Source organism: Homo sapiens, chromosome 14, assembly GCF_000001405.40.
Source record: "Homo sapiens chromosome 14, GRCh38.p14 Primary Assembly".
Lineage (NCBI taxonomy): Eukaryota > Metazoa > Chordata > Mammalia > Primates > Hominidae > Homo > Homo sapiens.
Genome location: NC_000014.9, coordinates 67,226,668 through 67,251,758, shown reverse-complemented (window position 1 = coordinate 67,251,758; position 25,091 = coordinate 67,226,668). Strand labels below are relative to the sequence as shown.

The 25,091-nt window shown below is 40.6% G+C and overlaps 3 protein-coding genes and 1 long non-coding RNA gene across 21 annotated transcripts in view, besides 2 other annotated features; 1 reads left to right on the top strand and 3 right to left on the bottom strand.

Moving 5' to 3' along the window:
- Positions 1 to 10,324, bottom strand: part of PALS1 (protein associated with LIN7 1, MAGUK p55 family member) — a 94,627-nt gene extending 84,303 nt beyond the window's left edge. For 6 of the 13 annotated variants that reach the window (XM_047431692.1, XM_011537086.3, XM_024449691.2 and 3 more), the window contains exon 1: positions 10,226 to 10,324. The gene's annotated coding sequence lies outside the window, so the exon portion shown is untranslated. Of the gene's footprint in view, positions 1 to 9,773; positions 10,086 to 10,176 lie in introns of those variants that run through there. The other 7 variants (XM_047431693.1, XM_047431690.1, XM_047431695.1 and 4 more) reach the window with 3 other exon arrangements.
- GPHN (gephyrin) overlaps positions 1 to 25,091 on the bottom strand; it is a 1,227,209-nt gene that overhangs the window by 483,597 nt on the left and 718,521 nt on the right. The gene's annotated exons all lie outside the window — the stretch shown is intronic.
- Positions 9,743 to 10,712: a silencer, noted in NCBI's record as "silent region_5855". NCBI's record gives its function as "represses an Ori minimal core promoter by ATAC-STARR-seq in GM12878 lymphoblastoid cells {active_cell/tissue: GM12878}" and the evidence as "EXISTENCE:reporter gene assay evidence [ECO:0000049][PMID:35858748]".
- On the top strand, positions 10,350 to 23,521 carry LOC124903330 (uncharacterized). The gene is made up of 2 exons (XR_007064217.1): positions 10,350 to 12,469; positions 20,632 to 23,521. It is a non-coding gene; the product is annotated as an uncharacterized LOC124903330 (long non-coding RNA).
- Positions 10,693 to 10,972: an enhancer, noted in NCBI's record as "active region_8576". NCBI's record gives its function as "activates an Ori minimal core promoter by ATAC-STARR-seq in GM12878 lymphoblastoid cells {active_cell/tissue: GM12878}" and the evidence as "EXISTENCE:reporter gene assay evidence [ECO:0000049][PMID:35858748]".
- Positions 23,201 to 25,091, bottom strand: part of GARIN2 (golgi associated RAB2 interactor family member 2) — a 39,119-nt gene continuing 37,228 nt past the window's right edge. For 5 of the 6 annotated variants that reach the window (XM_047431033.1, NM_173526.4, XM_047431034.1 and 2 more), the window contains one exon: positions 23,201 to 23,371. The gene's annotated coding sequence lies outside the window, so the exon portion shown is untranslated. The remainder of the gene's footprint in view (positions 23,372 to 25,091) is intronic. The other variant, XM_011536500.2, reaches the window with a different exon arrangement.

The following is a 25,091-nucleotide window of genomic DNA, read 5'->3' as shown; positions in this document are numbered from 1 at the left end:
ACAAAAGACTCTCTATGCTTAAGAAAATTCCAAGGGATTTAGAAGCTCTAGGTCAGCTGTCAGGGACAAAGACCAAATATATATTTCTTATTGTATCACAGCCATATTAAGGGCTGACATACTAAGACAAAAAGATACAACCCACTATCCTACCCTTAAGGAGCTTATTTACAATTTACAGGCTCAAAGTTCTTCACTTTAATTCAACTACTTTTTTTTTGAGACAGGTTCTCGTTCTGTTGCTGTTGACCAGGCTGAAGTGCAATGGTGCCATCATGGTTCACTGCAGCCTCAACCTCCCACACTCAAGAAATCCTCTCACTTTAGCCTCCTGAGTAGCTGGGACCACAGGCACACACCACCAAGTCCAGCTAATTTTCGTATTTTTTGTAGAGACAGGGTCCCACTGTGTTGCCCAGGTTGGTCTCAAACTCCTGGGCTCAAGCGGTCCTCCTGCCTCGGCCTCCAAAATACTGGGATTTCAGGCATGAGCCACTGCGCCAGCCTCACGTACATTTTTAAACACTAGGTAAAGTGGAAAATGGCTTTCATCAAAAAGTTTCTAATCTTACCAAAAAGACAATGTTAAAATAAGTCTTAAGGCAGGCTATATTACAGACAAAGCAGAAAAGCCAAGGGCTTTGGGATCAAATAAAATTAATTCAACTCCTTTCTATCACTTATAATAGGACTATGGAAAAAATATTTAATCTCTCTGAGCCTCAATTTCCTCATTTGTAAAAAGAAGAATGCTGACAAAGAACTTGAAATGTAGTTGTTAATATTTAAGAAATACATACAAAGGATACAGCATACAGCATAACACATTAAGAGACACAGCGAGGGATACAATTCTGGATAAGAGGGGAAAGCAGAAAGTATTGTGATTTGGTCAAATGAACTATCAATCTTGCTATAAATTTTAAGTATAAAAGGATAAGGTATAAAAAACAGAAGGATAAGATTCCTTTAGGATGCCTACAAAAACTATGAAATTTATTTTCGTTAACTCTAAGTATGTACTGATTACCCTTATGCAAATCATTATTGTGAAAAACATTTGCAGGTCATTTATACAGTCGATGAATCACCTGGATCAGAGACCTGTATCTGGGGTTCATGACTTTATTTCCATGAATCCCTGCATATTGTATGAACAGTGTGTGTGTTTCAGAGGAAGGGCCCAGATGACTATCAGAATCACAAAACAATCTGTTTAACTAGAATTTTTTGTTTAATATTAGACAGTTAAATCTGCATGTCCAGTACACATAAACTGGAGTTTATACAGTTTTCAATGTGAGGCAATGTGATTTCCAATACTAAGACAGAAGAACCACTGTTTAACACATAACTTATTTTCTTCCAGATTTTTTTGGTCAGTAAATATTTGAGTGTCTAGTACTTCTGAGCATAAATGAACATCAAACAGTAGTCACAGCTCTCGATAATTTACAGATGAGTTACAAAAAAGAATAAATTGTTAATGCATACTTTACTAAAATTTTAAGAACTAAAACTTATTGCCAGTAGGAGGGTATGGAACGTTCCTGGAGGAAGGAAGAGTGGGTGGCTGAATTTTAAATGAAATTATGAACACAGCCTCTTGGAGAAGGGTTACTTTCGTCTATCTACATCAATGGTTTTCAAGTTGTAGGATGTGACCCATTTGTGTGCCATAAAATCGCTCTAGTGAATCTCAACCAGCTTCATAAAAAACAAAATAGAACAGCTTTATCTTGATAGAAACTCAGAAAAAAAGACTTTCCGAAGCGTTACTTACATTTCAAACATAACACAAAAATGAGTATCTAAATATGGATACTCTAAGTACAACCAAGTCCTAGCAGAGCACCTAGCTCACTACATTCATAGGAAGCAATCACGTTAAACGAATGCAGTCTTAAAGGCACTTCTAAAACACACAAGCAAAATACAGATTGCCTACTTCTTACATCAAAACAAAATAATGTATTTTAAGTTACATTCTCAAACCTTTTCTGTGACAATGTAAAACTCTCAAAATATAATGTTTTCACACAAAATCCTCAACTTTTTGTGTGAAGTTTCTCAAATTGTGAAGCCAATTATGATTTATATCAAAAAAGCATAACTCAAAAGATAACTATAGACACATAATTAAAATTTCTAATATTTGAACTTATTAGATATACTACAAACTGTAAAAACCTGACTCTCCTTAATTATTTCACATCTGTTGGTTTGTGACAAAGCACTGTGCAGTCTTGAAACAAAAAGTGAATAAGTGAATATTTATTAAGTATCTGCTATGTGTCAGATATTTTGCTAGGTGCTTTCCATATCTCAGCTTGAATTTTTCAATCATCTTTCAAGGTGGCTACATGTCATAGGTGAGAAAAGTGAGGCTTGGCCTAGAATTACAGCATGAAATAAATACCCCAAGCTTCCTTTTACTACATTACTACAATTACTGTCATTTCTCCTGCTGATTTTTTGCCTTAAAACATTGGTATGAGGCCAAGCATGGTGGCCCACGCCTGTAATCCCAGCACTTTGGGAGGCCGAGACGTGCAAATCACCTGAGGTCAGGAGTTCAAGACCAGCCTGGCCAATATGGTGAAGCCCCATCTCCACAAAAATACAAAAATTAGCCAGGCATGATGGCGGGTGCCTGTAATCCCAGCTACTCGGGAGGCTGAGGAGGGAAAATAACTTGAACCCGGGAGGCAGAGGTTGCAGTGAGCTGAGATCATGCCATTGCACTCCAGCCTGGGGGACAGAGTGAGACTTGGTCTCAAAAAAAAAAATTGGTATGTAGGCCAGGCGTGGTGGCTCATGCCTGTAATCCCAGCACTTTAGGAGGCCAACTTGGGAGGATCACTTGGGTCATGGAGTTCGAGACCAGCCTGAGCAACACAGTGAGACCCCATCTCTATCTCAAAAAAATAAAATAAAAATGTTGGTATGTAAACTAAGTCCAGAGGTCAAATCAGGCACACCTTATTTTTATAAGTAAAGTTTTATTGGAAAAGTCATGCTCATTTGTTTGGCTACCTCTGCCACTCTAACAACAGAACTGAGTACTTGCAACAGAGACAATATGGCCCACGAAGCTAAAATACTTACCGAAAGTTGTTGACCCCTGCCTTAAAGAAGCAAAATGCCAAGAACCCTGGAGGCCTCAAAATTTCAACGTCTTTGAGGGTGTTTGAGACTATTAACTGAAGAAGAAACTATAAAATTATATGAGACAGAAAGCCAAATGTTTTAATTTTTATAATGTTATATCATAATCAAGAAAATTTAAGTCCTACTAAAATGTAAAATGTAGGTAGGTAACTGTTAATGAATACCTTGACTCTACTGACTTCATTAAGTATTTTAGTTCACAAAATCTTATATTTGGTTTCCTTTTTTTTTTAAGAAAAGAGATCTTGTTATGTTGCTCAGCTGGACTCAAACTCCTGGGCTCAAGCGACCCTCCCACCTCAGCCTCCCAATTGGCTGGGGCTACAGGCATGTGACATTGCTCCTTCATTTTTAAGAATAAATGTTAATGTATATTAGTTTTTAAAAATCCAAAATGATTTTTGTTTAAAATAACCCCAGAGTTAGTCCCAGAAACATGCAAATATGGTTCAACATTTGAAAAATCAGTGTAATTCACCATATTAACAGATTAAAGAAAAAAGTTCACACAATCATCTCAATACATGCAGAAAAGGCATATGATAAAATTCAACATCTATTCATGATTTAAAAAACAAACCCTCAGTAACCTAGGAACAGAAGAAAACCTCCTTAACCTCCTTAACAGAATGCACAAAATGACCTACAGCTAATATCATTTTTTAAAAGTGAAAGACTGAATACTTTTCCTTTAAGAAAGTGAGCAAGAAGCCAGGCACTGTGACTCATGCCTGTAATCCCAGCACTTTGGGAGGCTGAGGTGGGCAGATCGCTTGAGCCCAGGAATTTGAGACCAGCCTGGGCAACATGGTGAAGCCCTGTCTCTACTAAAAATACAAAAAATTAGCTGGGCATAGTGGCACTTGCAGTAGGTCCCAGCTACTCAAGAGGCTGAGATGGGAGAATCAACTGAGCCCAGAAAGTCGAGGCTGCCGTGAGCAGTGCTGCGCCACTACACTTTAGCCTGGGGATAGAGTGAGACCCTATCTTAAAAAAAAAAAGTGAACAAGATAAAGATGCTACTTCTCATCTCTCCTATTCGACATCTCAGTGGAAGTCCTAACCAAGACAATACAGCAAGTTAAGGAAAAGAAATAAAAGGCATACAGACTAGAAGGAAAGAAAAGTTTTGAGCACGACTGTCTACTTAGAAAATTCCAAAAAAAATTACTAAAATAAAAAAGCTCCTAGAGCTAATAAGGGAGTTTAGCAGAAAGTCAGGATACAAAGTCAATATACAAAAATTAATTTCTATATACCATCAGTGATCAACTGGAATCTGATTTTTTTAGATTACCATTTACAATAGGACCAAAAAATTAAAATAATTAGGTATAGACTTAATAAAGTATTTGCAAGATCTGCATATTGAAAACTACAATACTCACATAAATGGAAAGAAATAGCATGTTCATAGATGAGAAGACTCAAATTATTAAGATGTCAATTATCTTCAGGTTGATCTCTAAATTAGACACAATCTCAATCAAAATCCCAACAGAATGTATAAATTATCAAGATGATTCTAAATATCATACAGAAAGCAAAGGAACTAAAAATAGTCATAACAATTTTGAAAAAGAATACAGTGGAAGAGTCACATTACCTAATGTGAAGACTTATTTTAAAGCTATAGTAGGCTGGGTGCAGTGGCTCACGCCTGTAATCCCAGCACTTTGGGAAGCCGGGGCAGGCAGATCACGAGGTCAGGAGATCAAGACCATCCTGGCCAACACGGTGAAACCCCGCCTCTACTAAAAATACAAAAATTAGCTGGGCGTGGTGGTGCGCGCTTATAATCCCAGCTACTTGGGAGGCTGAGGCAGGAGAATCACTTGAACCCAGGAGGCGGGAAGTTGCAGTGAGCTGATATCGTGCCACTGCACTCCAGCCTGGCGAGAGAGCAAGACTCCATCTCAAAAAAAAAAAAAAAAAAAACCTATAGTAGGCCAGGCTCAGTGGCTAACACCTGTAATCCTAGCACTTTTGGAGGTTGAGGTGGAAGGATCCCTTGTGCTCAGCTGCTCAAGACCAGCTTGGGCAATATAGGGAGATCTTGTCTCTACAAAAAATTTTAAAAATCGGCCTGGCATGGTGGCATGTACCTATAGTACCAGCCACTGGGGAAAGTGGGAGGATGGCTTGAGTCCTGGAGGTTGAGGCTGCAGTGAGCCATATTCACACCACTGTACTCCAGCCTGGGTGACAGAGTGAGACCCTGTCTCAAAAAATTTTTAAATAATACAGTCTGGGCAACATAGCCAAGACCTTATCTCTACAAATAAATTTAAAAATCAGCCAAGTGCGGTGGCACGCCTGTGGTCCCAGCTACTTGGGAGGATTGCTTGAACCTGGGAGGCCAAGGCTGCAGTGAGCAGAGATCACACCACTGCACTCCAGCCTGGACAGAGAGAGACCCTGTCTCTAAATAAAAAATAAAAATATAAATACAATAAAATAAAAATAAAAAATAAAAAGGATAGACAAAATAGATCAATTGAAGAGTCCATAAACAAACCCAAACAAATGCAGTCAAATAGCTTTTGACAAAGAGACAAGAGGAATACAATGGGAAAAAGATCATGTTTTAAACAAATGGTCATGGAACTGGACAAACAAATAAGTGAAACAACTTGTACTTCTCTCATTTTATACAAAAATAAACTCAAAATGGAACATAGATCTAAAAATAAAATTACAATATAAAACTTGGAAAAAAAAATTGGAGAAAAATCTCTCTGACCGTGGATTGAGCAAAGAGTTCTTAGATACAATATTCAAATTTTAAAAATTAATAATTTGGACTTTCTCAAAATATAAAATTCTATACTTCAAAAGTAATGAAGTATAGAAGTTATGAGGATGAAAAGGCAAGCCAGAGTGGAAGAAAACCTTCGTAAATCACTTATCTGACAAAGATAAAGGACTATATAAAACTTTTGGGGCAGCGGCTCATGCGTGTTATCCCACCACTTTGGGAGGCTGAGGCAGGAGAATCACTTGAGCCCAGGAGTTCTGAGACCAGCCTGGGAAACATAGTGAGACCCCATCCCTAAAGAAAAAAGGAAAAAATAATAAGATAATAATAAATTCAGCAATAAGACAATAATCCAATTTAAAAATGGGCAAAAGTTTCAGACACTTTACCAAAGATAAACAGATGGCAAATAAGCACATGAAAAGATGCTCAACATCCTCAGTCATGGGGGAAATGCAAAGAAAAATCCCAACGAGATACTACTAAAATGGCTAAATCTAAAGACTGACCATACCAAGTGCTGACAGGAATGTAAAGCAACTGACCTCTCATATATTGCTGGTGGAAATGCAAAGTGGTTCAGCCACTTCAAACCCAGCCTGACAATGTATTAGTTTCCTATGCCAATGTAACAAATTGCCACAAATTTAGTGGCTTAAAACAACAGAAATTATTTTACAGTCCTATAGGTTAGAAATCTGGCATATGTCTCCCTTGGCTAAAATTACTGGCAGGGCTGCTTTCTTTTCTGGAGCCTCTTCAAGATTCTAGACACCACTCATATTCCTTAGTTTGTGGCCTGCTCTCCTCCATCTTCAAAGCCAGCAACTTTGCACTTCTCTGACCAATTGTTACATCTTTTTTTCCTGACTCTACTCTTCTGCCTCTCTCTTTCCTTTTTTAAAGATTCTGTGATACACTGGGACCACCTGAATAATCCACAATAATCTCCCTAAAGTCATCTGATTAGCAACCTAAATAAGCCTTTGCCACTTAAGCAAACATATTCACAGGTTCCAGGGATTAGGATATCTTTGAAGACCTTTATTCTGTCTACCACAGATAGGTCTTTTTTTAATTTTAAGATAAAATTAGGCTATACCTACCATATTCCATCTACTTAAGAGAAACAAAAACTTAGGTTTACACAAAAACCTATTTGCAAAGATTTACAGCCACTTTATTCAGTCACAAAAAACCTGAAAACAACTCAAATGTCCTTCAACTGGTGAATGGATAGGTGATGGAACTGTTCTTTACCTTGATTGTGGTAGTTGCACAGCTCTCTGAGTTGGAATTGTACAATGAAAAGTTAACTTCATTTCATGTAAATTAGAGTTAAATATTTTTTAAAGAAAAGAAGCAATTATATCATTTCTCATCCACCAGATTAGCAAAAATTTTAAAATCTTACGATGCCCAGTGTGGGCAAGAATGTGAAGCCACTGTCACTCATACTGTTTGCAGGAATGTAAATGATTACAGCATTAAAAAGGGTAATTTGGCTGTAGCTAGTAATGTTGAAAACACATATCAACCTATTATCAGCAATTCCACTTATAGGTAGGTATACATACATTCTAGGAAAGCGTCCACACATGCGCTCAAGGAGACATACACAAAGATATTCATTAAACATTGTTTGAAATATTAAAAAACTGAAAATTCTTCAGTAGGGGAATGAATTGCAGTTAGTAGTTATTAAAAAAGAAAACGGAAAAAATCCATGACAGAAAGAATCCTGCCAGTTAAGTGATTTGGAAAAGGCAACTTATTGGTTTATCTAACAATGAGACATCCTGAGAAGAGCACTGAATTTAGAATATGGAGACTTAGAATATGGAGAACAGCATTTTAGCATTCATGTAGTTCCAAGTCTGCCCCTAACTAGCAGTCAGACTACGGATTACTTAACTCCTGCAAGCCTCACTTTCTTTTTCATGGAAAATGAAGAGGTTAGACTATATAACCACTAAGATTACTTCCAACTCAACGATCCTATGATTCAGTAAGTATATGATCAAAAATCATAAGGGCTGGGCGCGGTGGCTCACGCCTGTAATCCCAGCACTTTGGGAGGGCGAGGCGGGCGGATCACGAGGTCAGGAGATTGAGATCATCCTGGCTAACACGGTGAAAACCCGTCTCTACTAAAAAAAAAATACAAAAAATTAGCAGGCGTGGTGGCGGGCACCTGTAGTCCCAACTACTCGGGAGGCTGAGGCAGAAAAATGGCGTGAACCCGGGAGGCAGAGCTTGCAGTGAGCCGAGATTGCGCCACTGCACTCCAGCCTGGGCGACAGCGCGAGACTCCGTCTCAAAAAAAAAAAAAAAAAAAAATTATATTCTGGCGGTGGCTCACGCCTGTAATCCCAGCATTTCAGGAGGCCGAGGCGGGTGGATCACCTGAGGTCAGGAGTTCGAGGCCAGCCTGGCCAACATGGTGAAACCCCGTCTCTACTAAAAATACAAAAATTAGCCAGGTGTGGTGGCGAGCACCTGTAGTCCCAGCTAGTCGGGAGGCTGAGAGCAGGAGAATCACTTGAACCAGGGAGGTGGAGACTGCAGTGAGCCAAGATCGCGCCACTACACTCCAGCCTGGGCAAGAGCGAGACTATGTCTCACAAAAAAAAAAAGAAAAGACAATTATATTCTATATAAGCACATATGTCAAGATACTATTTTTTTCTAGACACTCTGAAATCAGAAAATATCAGAGAAATAGGGCATTTCAGTAAATAATATATAAAATTGATCAAATTTCTTGGAATGGGTGATAAATTTTATTTTTTCCATGACACAGCCCTCAGGAGATCCTGAAAACACGTGCCCCTGTGATGAGATTTTTAATCAAAATCATAATTCAAGATCATGTAAAAGCTAAACCCACTGTACTGACTTGGGTCACCCTCAAGTAGAACTTATATATTCTCTCCCGTTTTAACATTCTAAAACAAATTAATGTTAATCAATCCACCTTAATTTGTCAAGTTCAAGTCCGTCTTGCCAAAACTAATTCAGGTACATGGTAAAATTTACCAGATTTTTAAAGATAAAATAATGAATTGCTTTTCCTATTTTTGCCTGTTTTATCTATAAATCTCTTACATTATAATTTAATAGCTCATCCTGCCGCAAATAGAAAGCCTATAAAACCTATCCACAATAGCTATGTCCACAGGGATCTAGTAAAAAAAAAAAATCGTAGTTCTTAATTCAAGGAAGCTTATTTAATAAGTTTCATTACCACCAATACTTCAAAGACACCAATAACCAACACGTCATTTGTTCCTATTGCATAATTTAACAGGTTATTAACTTCTGGTATAATCCAAAAGCATAATTAGTAAACTATCATTAAAACATGATATTGCTTTTTTAAAAAATCAGAAATATTAACACCTTTCACTGCGTCAGTCAAATCAAAATTTCAAAATTTTTGTTCAACTGACTTTCCAAATCTAAATTCTTACTATTCTAAACGAGTATGGAGACAAAACACACACTCCATACTACATCTAAAAACTTCCTAGCCATCAGATTTTAATTTTAGCATAAACTGCCAAGAAAAACCTTTTGACCGAAACCTACATTCCGTACACATTACTGTATGTCAATCAACAGAAGGTGAGTTATGATCATTAGAAAGTTACATAATTTACTACAAAGATCGTTTAAAGCAAACTTCATTAAACGTAGGTTATAACAATTTACATGCTTCAAAGTTCAACGTGCAACCTTAAAGTATCAGAAACCATGAACAAAACTAGGCTTTTCTTTTAAAGTGGTCACAAGGAAGCAGGAACTGTTTGCGTGTTTAAGAACGCAATGAGCAGCAGAATACCAGCAGCTGAGTCAGGCAGAGGAACGCTGACTACATTCTGACTTCTAAAGGAAAGCGTTCCCTCGCCGATTTCCCAGACCCGGCCGGGAGAGTCCCGCGCGTCGCGACCTCGGAGAGAGGGCGCAGGGGGCAGACGACTCCCCGCCGCGCCCCCTGCACCTCGGGCTCGGCTGGCTGTGGCCCGCGCCAAGGTGCATGCCCAGCCAAGCAGAAGGAGCGGGCACCGCGCAGGCAGCGTTGCTCCGAGGGACAAAGGTTGGGCTCACACCCTCCACGGCCGCAGCTCGCGCGCCTGAGGAAGCCCGCCTGGCTGCCAGGGGTCTCCCGCTGGCCGGAGTTTGCGCAGCGTGTGGGGGAAGGGGAGCCCGGCCGCCCGCCCCTCCCCCGCCGCGCTCCCAGGGACCTGTTGATTAAGATCTCTACAGCCCAGCCGCCGCCGATCCGCCTCTTACCTCCACGCCTCGGCTCCGCGGAGCCTCCCGCCCCGGCCGCTCCTACGCACTGCAGAAGCGACAGCCCTCCGGCGGCCCTTGAAATTCCGGATAAAGAATCCAGAAACTCCCGACTCCCCACCTCAGAATCCTTAGTCCCCGCCCCCGCCCCACCGCCTGCCTCCTCCGTCGCCGCCGTCACCGCCGCAGCCGCCAGCAACTCCACTTCTAGACCGCGCGAGACCGGCCCCTGCGGCCGCCGCGAGACCGCGCACGCGCCCCCGGGACTCTGGCGCAGTGGGCGCGCGGATCCGAGTCCCACCCCGCCCGTGAGAGGCTGGCGCGGCTTGCCCAATCCCGAGCCGGAGCGGAGAGAGCGCCCGCTCATTGGTCCTCTCCGCAGCTCCAGCCGGGTGCGCGCAGTCGCGCGCCTCTAAGTCTAAAACGCGGACTGCTCCGGGCTAGCTGGCCCGGTAGAGCCCCTTCGGGATTTGGCCGGCGGGCTTTGTGGGGACGCGAGGCTTCCCTGGGTTTCTACATCCCTTGGCTCTTGTCTCTGGATGACGTATCCTGAAGAAAATCTGATTCCTCTTGAAGAGATTCCTCATGTCCTGTCAAGTTAGTCACCCAATCTAACATTTGTTTTTTTTAAAAAATGACATAAACACCTGGATGTGTGCAGTGTCCCGCAGAAGACTGCATAAAGCCAGCAGCTGCACTGATTTCTGAAAACCAGAAAGCAAGGATAGCAAGGACTAGAACTATTTCCCAGAAGTCTCCCGAAGGGACAGAGTTACGCAGATCAGCCCGTGCTCCGGGCATGGCTGGCGCCCTCGGGACCTGGATGTGCCACCCTTGGAATGGGGCAGGACTCAGGCGGGTGCGGGCGGAAGTCAGAGCAGATTGGAGGACGTTCTAAGGAGAAACACCAGCAATGTGTCTCGACACTTGCAATAAAAGCCCTCGGATGGTCTCTGTCTTGACAGTACCTTCCGAGCAAGCCCATTCCACATTTGAACACTTGCAAGGTTTGTTAATCGACCTCTCCTTCTATGAGGCCAAACTATGCCTGTGACTCCAGCCCGGGGGCACAGTTTCCCCCAGGGGCACAGTCCTCCCTCAAAGCCTTCGTATATGCCATTTCCATTTCTCTCGGTTTTCCTCATTTTGTCCCACGGTGTTTTTCCATCTCGCAATGTCCTCAGGTCCTGATTTTCAAGCTCTTTCACATTCTTCCCCATTACGCTCCTCTGGACAGCCTATGGGTTGTGGTGTCCCTCACTAAGGACACTGTGATGGCCTGAACGAAGCAAACCGTTGTTCCTGGTGGTGAAGATCTTTGGGGATGCCTACCCTTCCCAGATTTGTTATCCTTCTCAAATCTGATCAGCATTCTGTCCAAGTGTTTAATAAGACAGAGCGGAGGACAGAACTCTGCTGCATGCCACTAAAGACCTTAATGCTCCTGCCATCAAAAATTTCTCAGTAGGCTTCGAATACAGGTGGACGACACAACCGAACTGTCTTCTTGGCCCATATTCCTCCATAAAGATGCCATGAGAACTGGTGAAATGCCTAACTGAAATCCAGATAAAGTCTCCAGGATTCCTAGAAACTACTAGCCATACCCCAAAAGAAAAAACGGTTACTGTGTGTGACTTACTTCCTTTTCTAAGTTCTTTTGTTTTTGTTTTTGTTTGAGACGGAGTTTCGCTCTTTTGCCCAGGCTGGAGTAAAGTGGCGCAATCTCGGCTCACTGCAACCTCCGCTCCCCGGGTTCAAGCGATACTCCTCCCTCAGCCTCCCCAGTATCTGGGATTACAGGTGCCAGCCACCACGCCCGGCTAATTTTTGTATTGTTAGTAGAGACGGGGTTTCGCCACATTGGCCAAGCTGGTCTTGAACACCTGACCTCAGGTGATCCACCTTTCTCAGCCTTCCAAAGTGCTAGGATTACAGGCGTGAGCAACCGTGCCCCGCCTCTAAGTTCTTAAATATATAACATAAATAATAATTCAAGAAGCTTCCTCCAGCTCGTCAATGAATTCTTCTTTCTCTAGCTTATAATTTCTCATCCTTGGCACTATTGACATTTGGGCTGGATAATTCTTGTGGGGACTGTCCTGTGCATCATAGGATGTTTAGAAGCATCCCCAGCCTCTACCCACTACGTGCCAGTAGCATCACCCTCCCCAATGTGACAATCAAAAATGTCTCCAGACATCACCAAAGGTCATGGGGAGGAATGAGCAAAATCATCTTCAGGTAAGGACTGCAGATCTAGCTGTTCAAAGAAAGGACCTCTTTGGAAAGATAGTATATCTTTATCCGTAACTTCCAATCTCTTGGCCCCAGGCAGTTTTACAAAACAACAAAACACACACACAAAAAAAGCCTCCACCCAAATGAACCCGCCAAGTACCTAGCCTTGCTTCCTCAGCTGCTTAGATTCCCATACAGGACCCCACCATAATAAAATAATTATTAGTATGAGTGTGAGATAGCAGACCAGCTGCTTATCTCAAAATATGTGAAATTCCTTTTTAAAGTGCTATAACAATTCAGAAGGGCATTTTTTTCAGGAAAAGAAGTGCTATAAAAATATTAGTTATGGCCTGGCATGGTGGCTTACACCTGTAATCCCAGCACTTTGGGATGCCAAGGTGTATGGATCCCTTGACCCCAGGAGTTCAAAACCAGCCTTGGCAACATGGCAAAAACCCATCTCTACAAAAAATACAAAATTAGCTGGGCATGATGGTGTGTGCTTATAATCCCAGCTACTTGGGAGGCTGAGGCAGGAGGATCATCTAAGCCTGGGAGGTCGATGCTGCAGTAAGCTGAGATCACACCACTGCACTCCAGCCTGGGCAATAGAGTGAGACCCTGTCTCAAAAAAAAAAAGTTATTATTTTACCTCCTAAAGATATTTTCATGTTAAAAGAGGGCAGATCCTACAGCAAATAACAAATCTACTCTCTAGTGGGTCAGGTGCAGTAACTCACACCTGTGATCCCAACACTTTGGGATGCCAAAGCGGGAGGATTGCTTGAGCCCAAGAATTCAAAACCAGCCTGGTCAACATGGGGAGACCCCGTCTCTACAAAAAAATTTAACAATTAGCTGGGTGTGGTGGCACGCTCCTGTAGTCCTGGCTACTTGGGAAGCTGAGATGGGAGGATCCCTTGAGCCCAGGAGATCTAGGCTGCAGTGAGCTGTGATTGTGTCACTGCACTCTAGCCTGAGCAACAGAGCAAGACCGTGTCTAAAAAAAAAAAAAAAAAAGAAAGCAAGAAAGAGAAAGAAAGAAAAGAAAAAAGAAATCTATTTTCTGGTGAATTGAGCCAATCCCAGAATCTCCAAGTCATACAAATTACTGGTATATATGCAAAAACTGAAGGGTAGCTGAAAGAGTGAAAGGTATAGAAACTGGAGGCATGGTAATTAGATTAAGTTTTAGCTTTGCTGCTAGCTAGTTCTGTGATTTAGATGTGTGACAAGCTTCCTGGACCTAAATTTTCTCATCTATAATGTAAAGGGGTTAACTACTTTTTTCCCCCTAGTTTTAGGATTTGGTAGCCTCTGCATATAGAGTCTAACATGGATAGCATAGGAGGTTAAGAGAATATAATATTCCCCCCAAAATAGAATGAAATGGACAATCTGTGGTTTAAACCCCCCTGTCAGAAGGGCTGTTCATCCTCGTCAGAAAGCAGTTCACCTGCTGAGTCACTCTAACAAATTTGTAACTAAATATTATGGATGAGTAGTGAAAGCCTAACTGTAAAACCAGGAGTAAGGTGGACAGTCACCATAGTAAATACCCTCCCTTCTTCCTCATCTTGTCATCTGCTTAGCCCATTGTCTGTCAATATCCCTTATTAAATGTTTATGTAATAAAATACCACACTATTTTATTTCATTAAAAGTTTTGGGAAGCCAGTCATGGTGGCATGTGCCTGTCATCTAATCAGGGGGCTAAGATGGGAGGATTGTTTGAGCCTAGGAATTCAAGTCCAACCTGGGCAACACAGCAAGACCCCCTTCTCTAAAAATTAAAAAAAAAAAGTTTTGGAGGAAACATATTCATGTTGCATTTCAGCCACTTGTAAAAAGTTCTGAAATTTTTGTTTTCAAGATTTATTATTCCCTATTATATATCAAATTATGTAGCCTTAACTAAGGCTATTATATGTCCTCTTTGTACTAGTGAAAACCAGGTCTTCACTAGTATGGTTTTCATAACTTGGCTTTCACTAGTACCTCAGTGAATTAGTACTTAGAATTTTCATAAGTGAATTAGTAGCCTAATCACATAATTGTATGAACCAGATGATCAGAGATAATGTATAATAAAAGCAGAATACTCAGTAACTCAGATAAAAGAGAAATTATGAAACAAAAATTACCTACGAATAGTAGTTCTAGTAAATAAATATATATATATAATATATTTTCGTTTTTTGAGATGGAGTCTTGCTCAGTCACCCAGGCTGGAGTACAGTGGTGTGATCTTGGCTCACTGCAACCTCCGCCTCCCGGGTTCAAGCGGTTTTCCTGCCTCAGCCTCCCAGTAGCTGGGATTACAGGCACCTGCCACCATGCCCGGCTAATTTTTTTTGAATTTTTAGTAGAGACAGGGTTTCACCATGTTGGCCAGGCTGTTCTCGAACCCCTGACCTAAAATGATTTGCCCACCTCGGCCTCCCAAAGTGCTGGGATTACAGGCATGAGCCACCGTGTCTGGCCAAATATCTAAAATAAAATAAAATAAAATAATAAAATAACAAAAAGCAAACCAACAAACAATGAACTTTTCTAATTTAATTGGGTTATTCTTATTTAGATGTTTTATAGGAGGATTTAAACTTTCATAAATCTAGCTAAATATAGTATATCCCTGAGCTAAGAACATTATACAGTTGTCATATGGAATGGAAGGTCCCACTATCTGCACCAGTGTAATTCAGTACAGGTTAGTATTATTCAACCTAATTGGCTTTAACAACTATTCACTCATTTAATGGGCTAAGCATTGTGCTATAGGCACTGAAATCTGTGTGACAGTCCTTATCCTAGAGGAACAGGAAAGGTAGGAAAAAGGACACGATAAGACAAATAAAATACAAGGAAAAGCATGGTGAATGAACATAAGTGTGCTAGACTCAAAGAAAGAAAAGGTCTTATACCAGGAGGAGCTTTACTATCTAGTGAAGGTGCGGGTGGGAACAGTGAATAAACTGCTCTGAAAGTACTCACAATAATAGGAAAATCAGGATCTTATACATGGCTTTAAAAAAATAGACATGAGTTGGAGGGAGGAGTGGGGAGATGTTGGTCAAAGGATACAAAATTTCAGTTAGGAGGAATAAGTTCAAGAGCTCTATTTGTACAACATGGTGAGTATATAGTTAATAACAATGTATAGTATACTTTAGTATACTTAAGAGACTAGATTTTAAATGTTCTCACCACAAAACAAATGGTATGCGAGGTAATGTTAATTAGCTTGATTTAGCCATTCCACAATGTAAACATATTTCAGAATACTATGTTGTATGTCATAAATATATCTAATTTTTATCAATTTAATTTAAAAATTTTAAAAAGACACACATAAAACTTTTTCTAAATGTGAATGACTGAGTGATATAAACAGAGAAAAGAAGCATGAGCTTAATATGGAAACAAGAGTCAACAAAAGCCTCAGGGTAGGATATTCAATATTTAGAATGTCAATCATTTATCATTCTTTTATTTGTACCCATCTGAGTGGTCCTATGCCAGTCTGGAGATGTGTCAAGAAATAAAATAGGGTCTATGAGAATTTTTTTTTTTTTGAGATGGAGTCTCACTCTGTCACCCAGGCTGCAGTGCAGTGGCGCGATCTCGACTCACTGCGAGCTCTGCCTCGTGGGTTCACGCCATTCTGCTGCCTCAGCCTCCTGAGTAGCTGGGACTACAGGTGCCTGCCACCAAGCCTGGTTAATTTTTTGTATTTTTAGTAGAGACAGGGTTTCACCGTGTTAGCCAGGATGGTCTCGATTTCCTGACCTCGTGATCCGCCCGCCTCGGCCTCCCAAAGTGCTGGGATTACAAGCGTGAGCCACCGCGCCTGGCCCTGAGAAATTTTATTTCCGAGAGAGGATGTAGGTAATTTAGGGCTTGGAAAAATTTATAATGAAGGAAAGATCAAGCCCAAATGTTAAGAAAGAGGAGACGAAGTTTGTTCTGCTTGAAAAGGGCTATAAAATTACCTATATCTTTTCCTCACCAAGCTCCCAATCACACTTTTGTTTTGTGTGAAAAATTTCAGTGCTACTTTAATTAATATTTACATGTGAATACCTGTGACTGACTGGGTCTGGATGGTATCTGGCCTGAACTTTTTTTTTTTTGAGACGGAGTTTTGCTCTTGTCACCCAGGCTGGCATGCAGTGGCGTGATCTCAGCTCACTGCAACCTCTCCCTGCTGGGTTCCAGAGATTCTCCTGCCTCAGCCTCCCTAGTAGCTGGGATTACAGGTGTGTGCCACCATGCTCAGCAAATTTTTGTACTTTTAGTAGAGGCAGGGTTTTGCCATGTTGGCCAGGCTGGTCTCCAGCTCCTGACCTCAGGTGATCCACCCATCTCAGCCTCCTAAAGTGCTGGGATTACAGGCATGAGCCACCGCACCCGGCCTGAACTTTAAAGTGTGGAACTGTAGGCCGGGCGCAGTGGTTCCCGCCTGTTAGCATAGCACTTTGGGAGGCTGAGGCGGGTGGATCACCTGAGGTCAGGAGTTCGAGACCAGCCTGGCCAACATGGCAAAACCCCATCTCTACAAAAAATACAAAAATTAGCTAGGCTTGGTAGTGCAAGCCTATAATCCCAGCTACTAGGGAGGGTGAGGCAGGAGAATCGCTTGAACCCAGTGGGAGGAAGTTGCAGTGAGCCAAGATCGCACCACGGCACTCCAGCCTGGGGGACAGAGTGAGACTCTATTTCAAAACAAACAAGCAAAGAGTGGAACTCTAATGTCTCTTCTCCTATTCTCTCTTGAACTCACTCAACTTGACATGTAAAGTCACTGATTTCAGCCACTTCGTTAAATGCAAAAGTCAGTTTTCAGTCATCCTATGTGACCTGTCTGCAGTATCTGATGAAGCTGATAATTTTCTCCATTTTCTTCTCTGGGCTTCTGAAACACCATTCTTACTTCCCTTCCCAACTCACTGGAACCTCCTCCTTAGAACCCTTTGCTGGCTCTTATTTATCTCTTTGTATGCTAATATTTGGAGTGTCCCAAAGCTCTAAAATTGAATATTTTACTTCTCTCTTTGCCTGGGTTTGAATCCCAGCTCTGTCAATTGCTAGCTGTCTGATTAGAAGAAAGTCAGTTAATTTCTCTGAAATTCAGCTTCCTTATTTATAAAATGAGTATAATAAAAGTAGCTACCTCCTACAGTGCTTGTGAAGACAAACTGAATTTATATATGACAGTGCTTAGAACAGTGCTGGACATAGTATGTATTAACTGTTTGTCTTTATTTTTATCATGATGTTCTTTATCACTCACTCCCTTTCATCTGATCTCATGGCTTCAAATTTCATCTATATACTGTTTACTCCAAATTTATCTTTAGTCTGAACTTCTGCCCTGAATTCCAGAATCCTGTATTCAACTATCAGCCGGAATCTTCATTTAGATTTCTAATGAGTATTGCAAATTTTACATGGCAGAACTATTGATTCTGACACAGTTTCCAGTTATCCAGGTGTTCTTTCACATGGCACGTTCAACCCATCAGGAAATCCTGTTTATCTACCTTCAAAATATATCCAGAATCTAACCACTTCTCCCCATCCCCACTGCTACCACCCTCCTCCAGGCCATCATCATCTTTTGCCTGGATTGTTGCACTAGGTTTCTTCCCACCTGTCATGAGACAGACTGGGGGAAGTCAGCCAGAGGAAGGGAGTTTCAGATGGAAATTACAGATCAGATATAGGAGGTAGTGCTAACTAGAAACTTGTAAAACCTGTCAGTAGAAGCAGATTATCTGAGGCTTTGCAAATTTCTTTCTCACGGAAAAGCCCTACCTTCTCATGTGATAGACTATGGCAGAATTGGAATAGGTATTGGTATTCCACCAGGTTTTTAAAAGTGTGTTGGGAAGCCAAGGTGGGCAGATTGCCTGAACTCATGAGTTCATGACCAGCCTGGGCAACATGGTAAAACCCTGTCTCTACAAAAAATACAAAATTTAGCCGGGCGTGGTGGCACATGCCTATAGTCCCAGCTACTTGGGAGGCTGAGGCAGGAGAATCACTTGGACCTGGGAGGCAGATGTTGCAGTGAGCTGAGATTGCACCACTGCACTCCAGCCTGAGTGACAGAGTGAGACTATGTCTCCAAAAAAATAAAATAAAATAAAATAAAATAAAATAAAATAAAATAAAAATGTGTTGGTGGAATGGAGACATGGGAACAGCACAGTGGATCCCTTTTAGGGCTCTTGGAGAAAATAGATACTGTTTTCTTTTTTTTCTATTTTCCAGAATAATTTTAGAAGAACTTTTAAAACCATATTTGGAAATATAAATGGTTTTAAATTTGTAGCTGTGTAAATCTGTAGCTGGTGCTAGGACCTGACTAAATATTTAGACTAAAAGCTTTCAGGCCTCATGGCCTCTGGGTAACACTTCAAGCAAATGCAGGAAGGCAGAACAGCACACAAGTCTCCCAAGCCTTGTTATCTCAGCTCAGGGCACTGGAGAGCTGAGAACAGTTTGGCAACACGCATAAAAATGCACTGATTTTTTTTCCTTTTAAGTTTAGACTGAATATAGGCTATGAATATACCTAGGATCTTGGTAAAATGTGAGAATTCACTTTAATGAAGAAAATGGAGCGATTTCAAAGGGTGTTCAGCAGTTTAGTCAACATTTCATAAGTTCTTATCTAAAATATACACAGAAGGACAAGCTCTTTTAATAGTAGAAGTAGAGATAAATGAGATTTTGTGATACAAAATTACATGCAAATGTAATTTCTCCCTTGCTGCAGGTCAGGAAGCCAGAAGCAGCTTAACTGGGTGGCTCTGAGGTTAAAAGCAGGATGTCAGCTCTGGACTGCAGTCACCTGAAGGCATGACTGGGACTAAAGGATCTGCCTCCAGGAGTCTCACTCACATACCTGTTAGCTAGAGGTCTCTGTCCTTGTCATTTGGCCTTGTTCCTTGTCATAAGACTTGGCCTCTGTTTCTTGTCGTAAGGAACAGCTGGTTTCCCCCAAGGCAAATGATCTAAGGATGTGACAGCTGGCTTCCACCAGGGCAAATGACTTAAGAGAGGGAGCAACAAAGACAGAAACTATGGGCTGTTTTATGACCTAGTCTCCAAAACCACACACCACCACTGCCATCTTATTGTCTAGAAGCAAGGCGCTAAGTCCAATCTGTACCCAAAGGAAGCAATAGGCTCCATCCCTTGAAGGGAGGAGAATAAAGCATTTGTAGACATATTTTTAAAACCACCAGATAATCTAATGTGTGATAAGTACTATAGACACAAATTATCATGTTAATTTTTTTTTTTTTTTTTAAAGACACAGTCTCACCCTGTCACCCAGGCTGGAGTACAGTGGCATGATCTCAGCTCACTGCAACCTCTGCCTCCCAGGTTCAAGCAATTCTCCTACCTCAGCCTCCCTAGTAGCTAGGATTACAGGCACCCACCACCATGCCCAGTTAATTTTTTTGTGTTTTTAATAGAGACAGGATTTCACCATGTTGGCCAGGCTGGTCTCTAACTCCGACCTCAAGTGCTCCGCCCACCTCGGCCTCCCAAAGTGCTGGGATTACAGGCGTGAGCCACTGAGCTTGGCCTATTGAGGTATAATTTATATGCAAAAAAGGCACCTATTTTAAAGTATTTAGTTGGATAAATATACACACTAATGTAACCACCACCGCAATCAGGAGATAGAATATTTACGTCAGGCTGGACCCAGTGGCTCAGGCTGAGGCGAGAAAATCACTAAAGGCCACAGGGTTGAGACCAGTCTGGGCAACATAGCAAGACCCTGTCTCTACAGAAAAATTTAAAAATTAGCTGCATATGGTGGCATATGCCTGTAGTTCAAGCTACTTCAGAGGCTGAGGTGGGAAGATCACTTGAGCCCAGGAGTATGAGGTTACAGTGCCACTGCACTTCAGAACAAGATCCTGTCTCAAAAAAAAATAAGAACATTTTCATCACCTTAAAAAGTTTCCTCAAACTACTTTGCAGTCAATATCCTCCTGGCTACCCACAACCCCAGGCAACCACTAATCTGATTTGTCTTTATAAATTAGTTTTGTCTCCTAAATCTTCATATAAAAGGAATTATATAGCATGTAACCAACCTGTTTCTAAGGTTCACCCATGTGTTGTTGCATTTACAGTAGTCCACCCACCCCTCATCTTCAGGGGATATCTTCCAAGATCCCTCGTGATGCCTGAAACCTTGGATGGTACGGAACCCTGTATACACTGTGTTTTTCAATCTGATCATCGAGAAGGCTACTGACTAAGGGGCAGGTAACATATACAGCCTGGATAGCTGCAAGGGGATGATTCCTGTTCCAGGTGGGATGGTGTGAGATTTCATCATGCTACTTAGAATCGCATGCAATTTAAAACCTATGAATTATTTATTTCTGGAACTATTTAATATTTTTTGACCACAGGTAACTGAAACTGTGGAAAGCACAACTGTGGATAAGGGAGGACTTTTGTATTCCATAGTTAAGTTTCTTTTTGTTGCTAAGTAGTATCACTGTATGACCATACGACAATTTGTTTAGTCATTCACCTGTTGATGGGCATTTTGGTGTTTCTAGTTTTTTGCTATTATGAACAAAACTATGACTCTTTGTGTACGAGTCTTATTTTGAATATATGTCTTGTGAACATGTTTTTAGTTTTTTTGAAATTTGATCATATATCTTTTTTTTTCTTGAGAGAGGGTCTTGCTCTGTCACCCAGGCTGCAGTACAGTGGCATGATCATGGGTCACTGCAGCCTCGACCTCCTGAGCTCAAGCAATCTTCCATCCTCAGTCTCCTGAATAGCTGGGACTATAGATATGGGCCATCATACCCAGCTTATTTTTTGTGGAGACAGGGTATCACTTTGTTACCCAGGCTGATCTCAAACTACTGGGCCCAAGCAATCCTCCTGCCTCAGCCGCCCAAAGTGCTGGGATTATAGGCATGAGAGACCACATCCAGCTGATCATATGTCTTAACTTAATTTTCCAAACTCTTTTCCAGGGTGGTTGTACACCAACTACAGTGTATGCTGCCTTTTGAAGGATTGTGTTGCTAGATACAAATAGAAAGTTATAACTCATAGTTATAGCTTTCTACCTGTAAGAATCAATTTATTAATCTTTTTCCCCCCAAGTGAACAAAAGTAAAAGTTACAGATAATCTGTATGAAGAAAACAGTTTCTATGATGCTATAGCCATCTCCAAATTAGAAACTGTTGGTTTACGTATATACCTAACTTAAAAACGTTAGTCTCCTCTTGGTTTCATGGAATCTCTGTTTTCACTCCTGATTGTGAAGGTTGGAAACAAACTTCTTCTGTCTTTGGAACAGCAGGGAGAGGAGGAGGAGGAATTCCCTAGGCTGTGGGCCAAGAGACTAGGTAGATGGTTTTTCTCTAGAGCAGTGCTGTCTGATGGAAATCTATCATGAGCCACATTTTTTTGTGTGTAATTTGTGACACATTGCTTAACAGGCACATCAAAAGAGTAAAAAGAAAGATTAAATTAATCCTTAAATATTTTTATTTAACCAATATATTCAAATATTATCATTTAAACATATAATCAATATAATACACATTAAATATTTTACATTCTTTTTTTCTCAAAGACTTCCAAATCTGGCGTATATTTTACACTTATGGTATATCTCAATTTGGACACTAGATTTTCAACAGTTGAAGTGAAAAATGTAGCCCTACCAAAACAATAAAGTTGTGTTTAATGGAAAAATATTCTACACTGTTCTAGTTTTAAAATTAGAATTTACATTTATTAAAAATAATCTAAAATTCAGCTTCTCAGTCACACTAGCTACATTGCAGGTGCTCAATAGCCATATATGCCTACTGGCCATCATATGGGACTGCACAGTTCTAGAGGGTTGCTTGTGGGCCAGGAAGGGAAAGATGGAGATAAGAGATATTCTCAGTTCACAGTAGAAAAACCAGTACTATTTGTGTGAAATTTGAGTTAAATAGATTTCCATTGCTTTAAAAAAACCTAACTACCCTTATTCTGAATTTAAAAGCATGAGTTCTAATGTGAATCGCAAATTTGCGTTTAGCTTGGCTGTTGGGCTTCTTGGGTTCAAAGATCATCTCCACCATTTTCTAGCTGTGTGACTTGGACAAGTAACTTTAACCTCTAAGCTTCACTTTCACCACCTGTAAAACAGGGGAAAATAGTAGTGTCCCTCATATTACTGTGAAGATTAAGTGAGATAATGGATAAAAAACATGCTGTAGCATGACTGGCAGCATTTAGAAAATAAGTGATGGCTTTTAAAAAGTCAAACCATTCTCTGGATGGGGACTGTCTGTAGTTTCTTTTTTATTTTTAAAAGTACATGGATTTTTTTTAACCTGTTTGAAAATGACACACTGATTCAATAAATACTGTCTCTCAGCACCAGGTACTCAGCTAGAACAAAAGATGAAATGAACACAGTCCCTACCTTGAATGACCTCACATTCTCCAATGTTAGAAACAAAACAGTGTTGGACTAATATACAAATGAGAAAAGTGAAACCAAGAGAATAACAAATTTTTCCATCAATCCCAAAGAAAAGAAACCCCATCCATAAAAACTGAGTTTATGAATTGAAAATCTTACCGTTTTGCATAATCCTCTAGCTTCCTTTAAAATAGATACCCACAATTAAAATAGTTAAGATTTATGAAATTAGGTTGACATGGATTTGAATTCGTAATGATTAGTCATAGGCTTTATTTCTGCCACGTAGAAGACACTGCTTGGTTTTCCTCTTGCACTGATTGTCTTTCCCTGAGCTGTGTTTGCTTTTTAGTTTAGTAGTTTGTATCTGATTTTAAAAAAAGGTGGAGAAGTCAGTTCATTTAATTCAAATGTCTGAAATAGAGAATATTTTTAGTGTTATTACTGTTAACTATAAGACAAGATGAACTAAATACAGGTAAAATAAATGATTGAAACAAACAAAATTATATTTATACTACAACTTTTCTTCTTGATATAAAAAATAAAGATCCTTTGGATGAATAACATCTCTTTTTTTTAATCCAGCCATTAAAACATTATTAAACTTAATTTCTTTTTTTTTTTTTTTTGAGACAAAGTCTCACTCTGTCACCCAGGCTGGAGTGCAGTGGCACAATCTCGGCTCACTGCAACCCCTGCCTCCTGGGTTCAAGCAATTTTCATGCCTCAGCCTCCTGAGTAGCTAGGATTACAGGTGCCCACCACCACATCCAGGTGATTTTTGTCTTTTTAGTAGAGATGAGGTTTCACCATGTTGGCCAGGCTGGTCCCAAACTCCTGACCTCAGGTGATCCACCCGCCTTGGCCTCCAAAAGTGCTGGGATTATAGGCGTGAGCCACCGCACCCGGCCAAGAAACTTAATTTCTTAAAATTGTTGTTTTTAAAAGCTGTTTCTACCCAAGGAAAAACCTGTCCATTCAGGATGTTAAGATTAAGATTATGGGCTTTTACTCTTTTAAATTTCTAGCAAAAATAAACAAAAAATAAAATTAAAATTCTATACCTGCTATTGAATTATTTGCAAGTTCTTAATCTGTGCTGTACTGAGTCCTAAGATTTGGTCATAAGACCTACAAACATCATAATATGCTATAGTAAATAAGAGTCCAAATAACTTTCACATTACTTCAGTTGTAATAAGATGAAGTCTTTCACATTATTTGTAATAATATGAAGTCTGTATTAGTAACTAACTTTTTCTACCATTAAAAAAAATCTACCTTTTCCCATATATCAGCAATTCAAAATATAAGGATTTGGGAGCAAATTTTTCTTTTTTTTCTTTTTTTTTTTTTTTTGAGACAGCATCTTACTCTGTTGCCCCGGCTACAGTACAGTGGTGCGATCTCGGCTCAGTGCAACCTCCGCCTCCCGGGTTCAAGCAATTCTCCTGCCTCAGCCTCCTGAGTAGCTGGGACTACAGTCATGCGCCACCATGCCCGGCTAATTTTTGTATTTATAGTAGAGATGGGGTTTCACCATATTGGCCAGGCTGGTCTCGAACTCCTGACCTCGTGATCCACCCACCTCAGCCTCCCAAAGTGCTGGGATTACAGGCGTGAGCCACCACGCCCAGCTGGGAGCAAATTTTTCAATTTAATAAGTCAAAATTTAAGTATGGTATAATTTTTTGTCATTCTTTGCATTTGCAGCTCTCTGTTAATGAGACCCTAATATTTGAAATTTTGTTGCTGAATATATCCATCAAGGGATTGAAATCATTGTAAAATATTGAGTTATCTTGAAAGAAATTTCTCTCTTTAAATTCTATATTATATTGAAAGATGGCAGAGCTTCAGACTCTGTCTAGGTGGATGTAGGAGCCAGCACGTGTCACCCTGTATGCCACCCATCGCTGTCTCCACACCATACAACAAGTTAAGGGGAATATTAGGAGCATTCTTAAGGGGGAAAGAAGTCACAAAGGAACAGGTACAGATCAGGAAATGTATGTGGAGGCCAGGGAATTATGGAGTGTGGACATTTGTTGTTTTTCAGCCACATTGTTCTCCTCTGGTCCATTACCTTTCACCTACAGTGTGCATCTTGGGGGGCCCTGTTAATAAACAA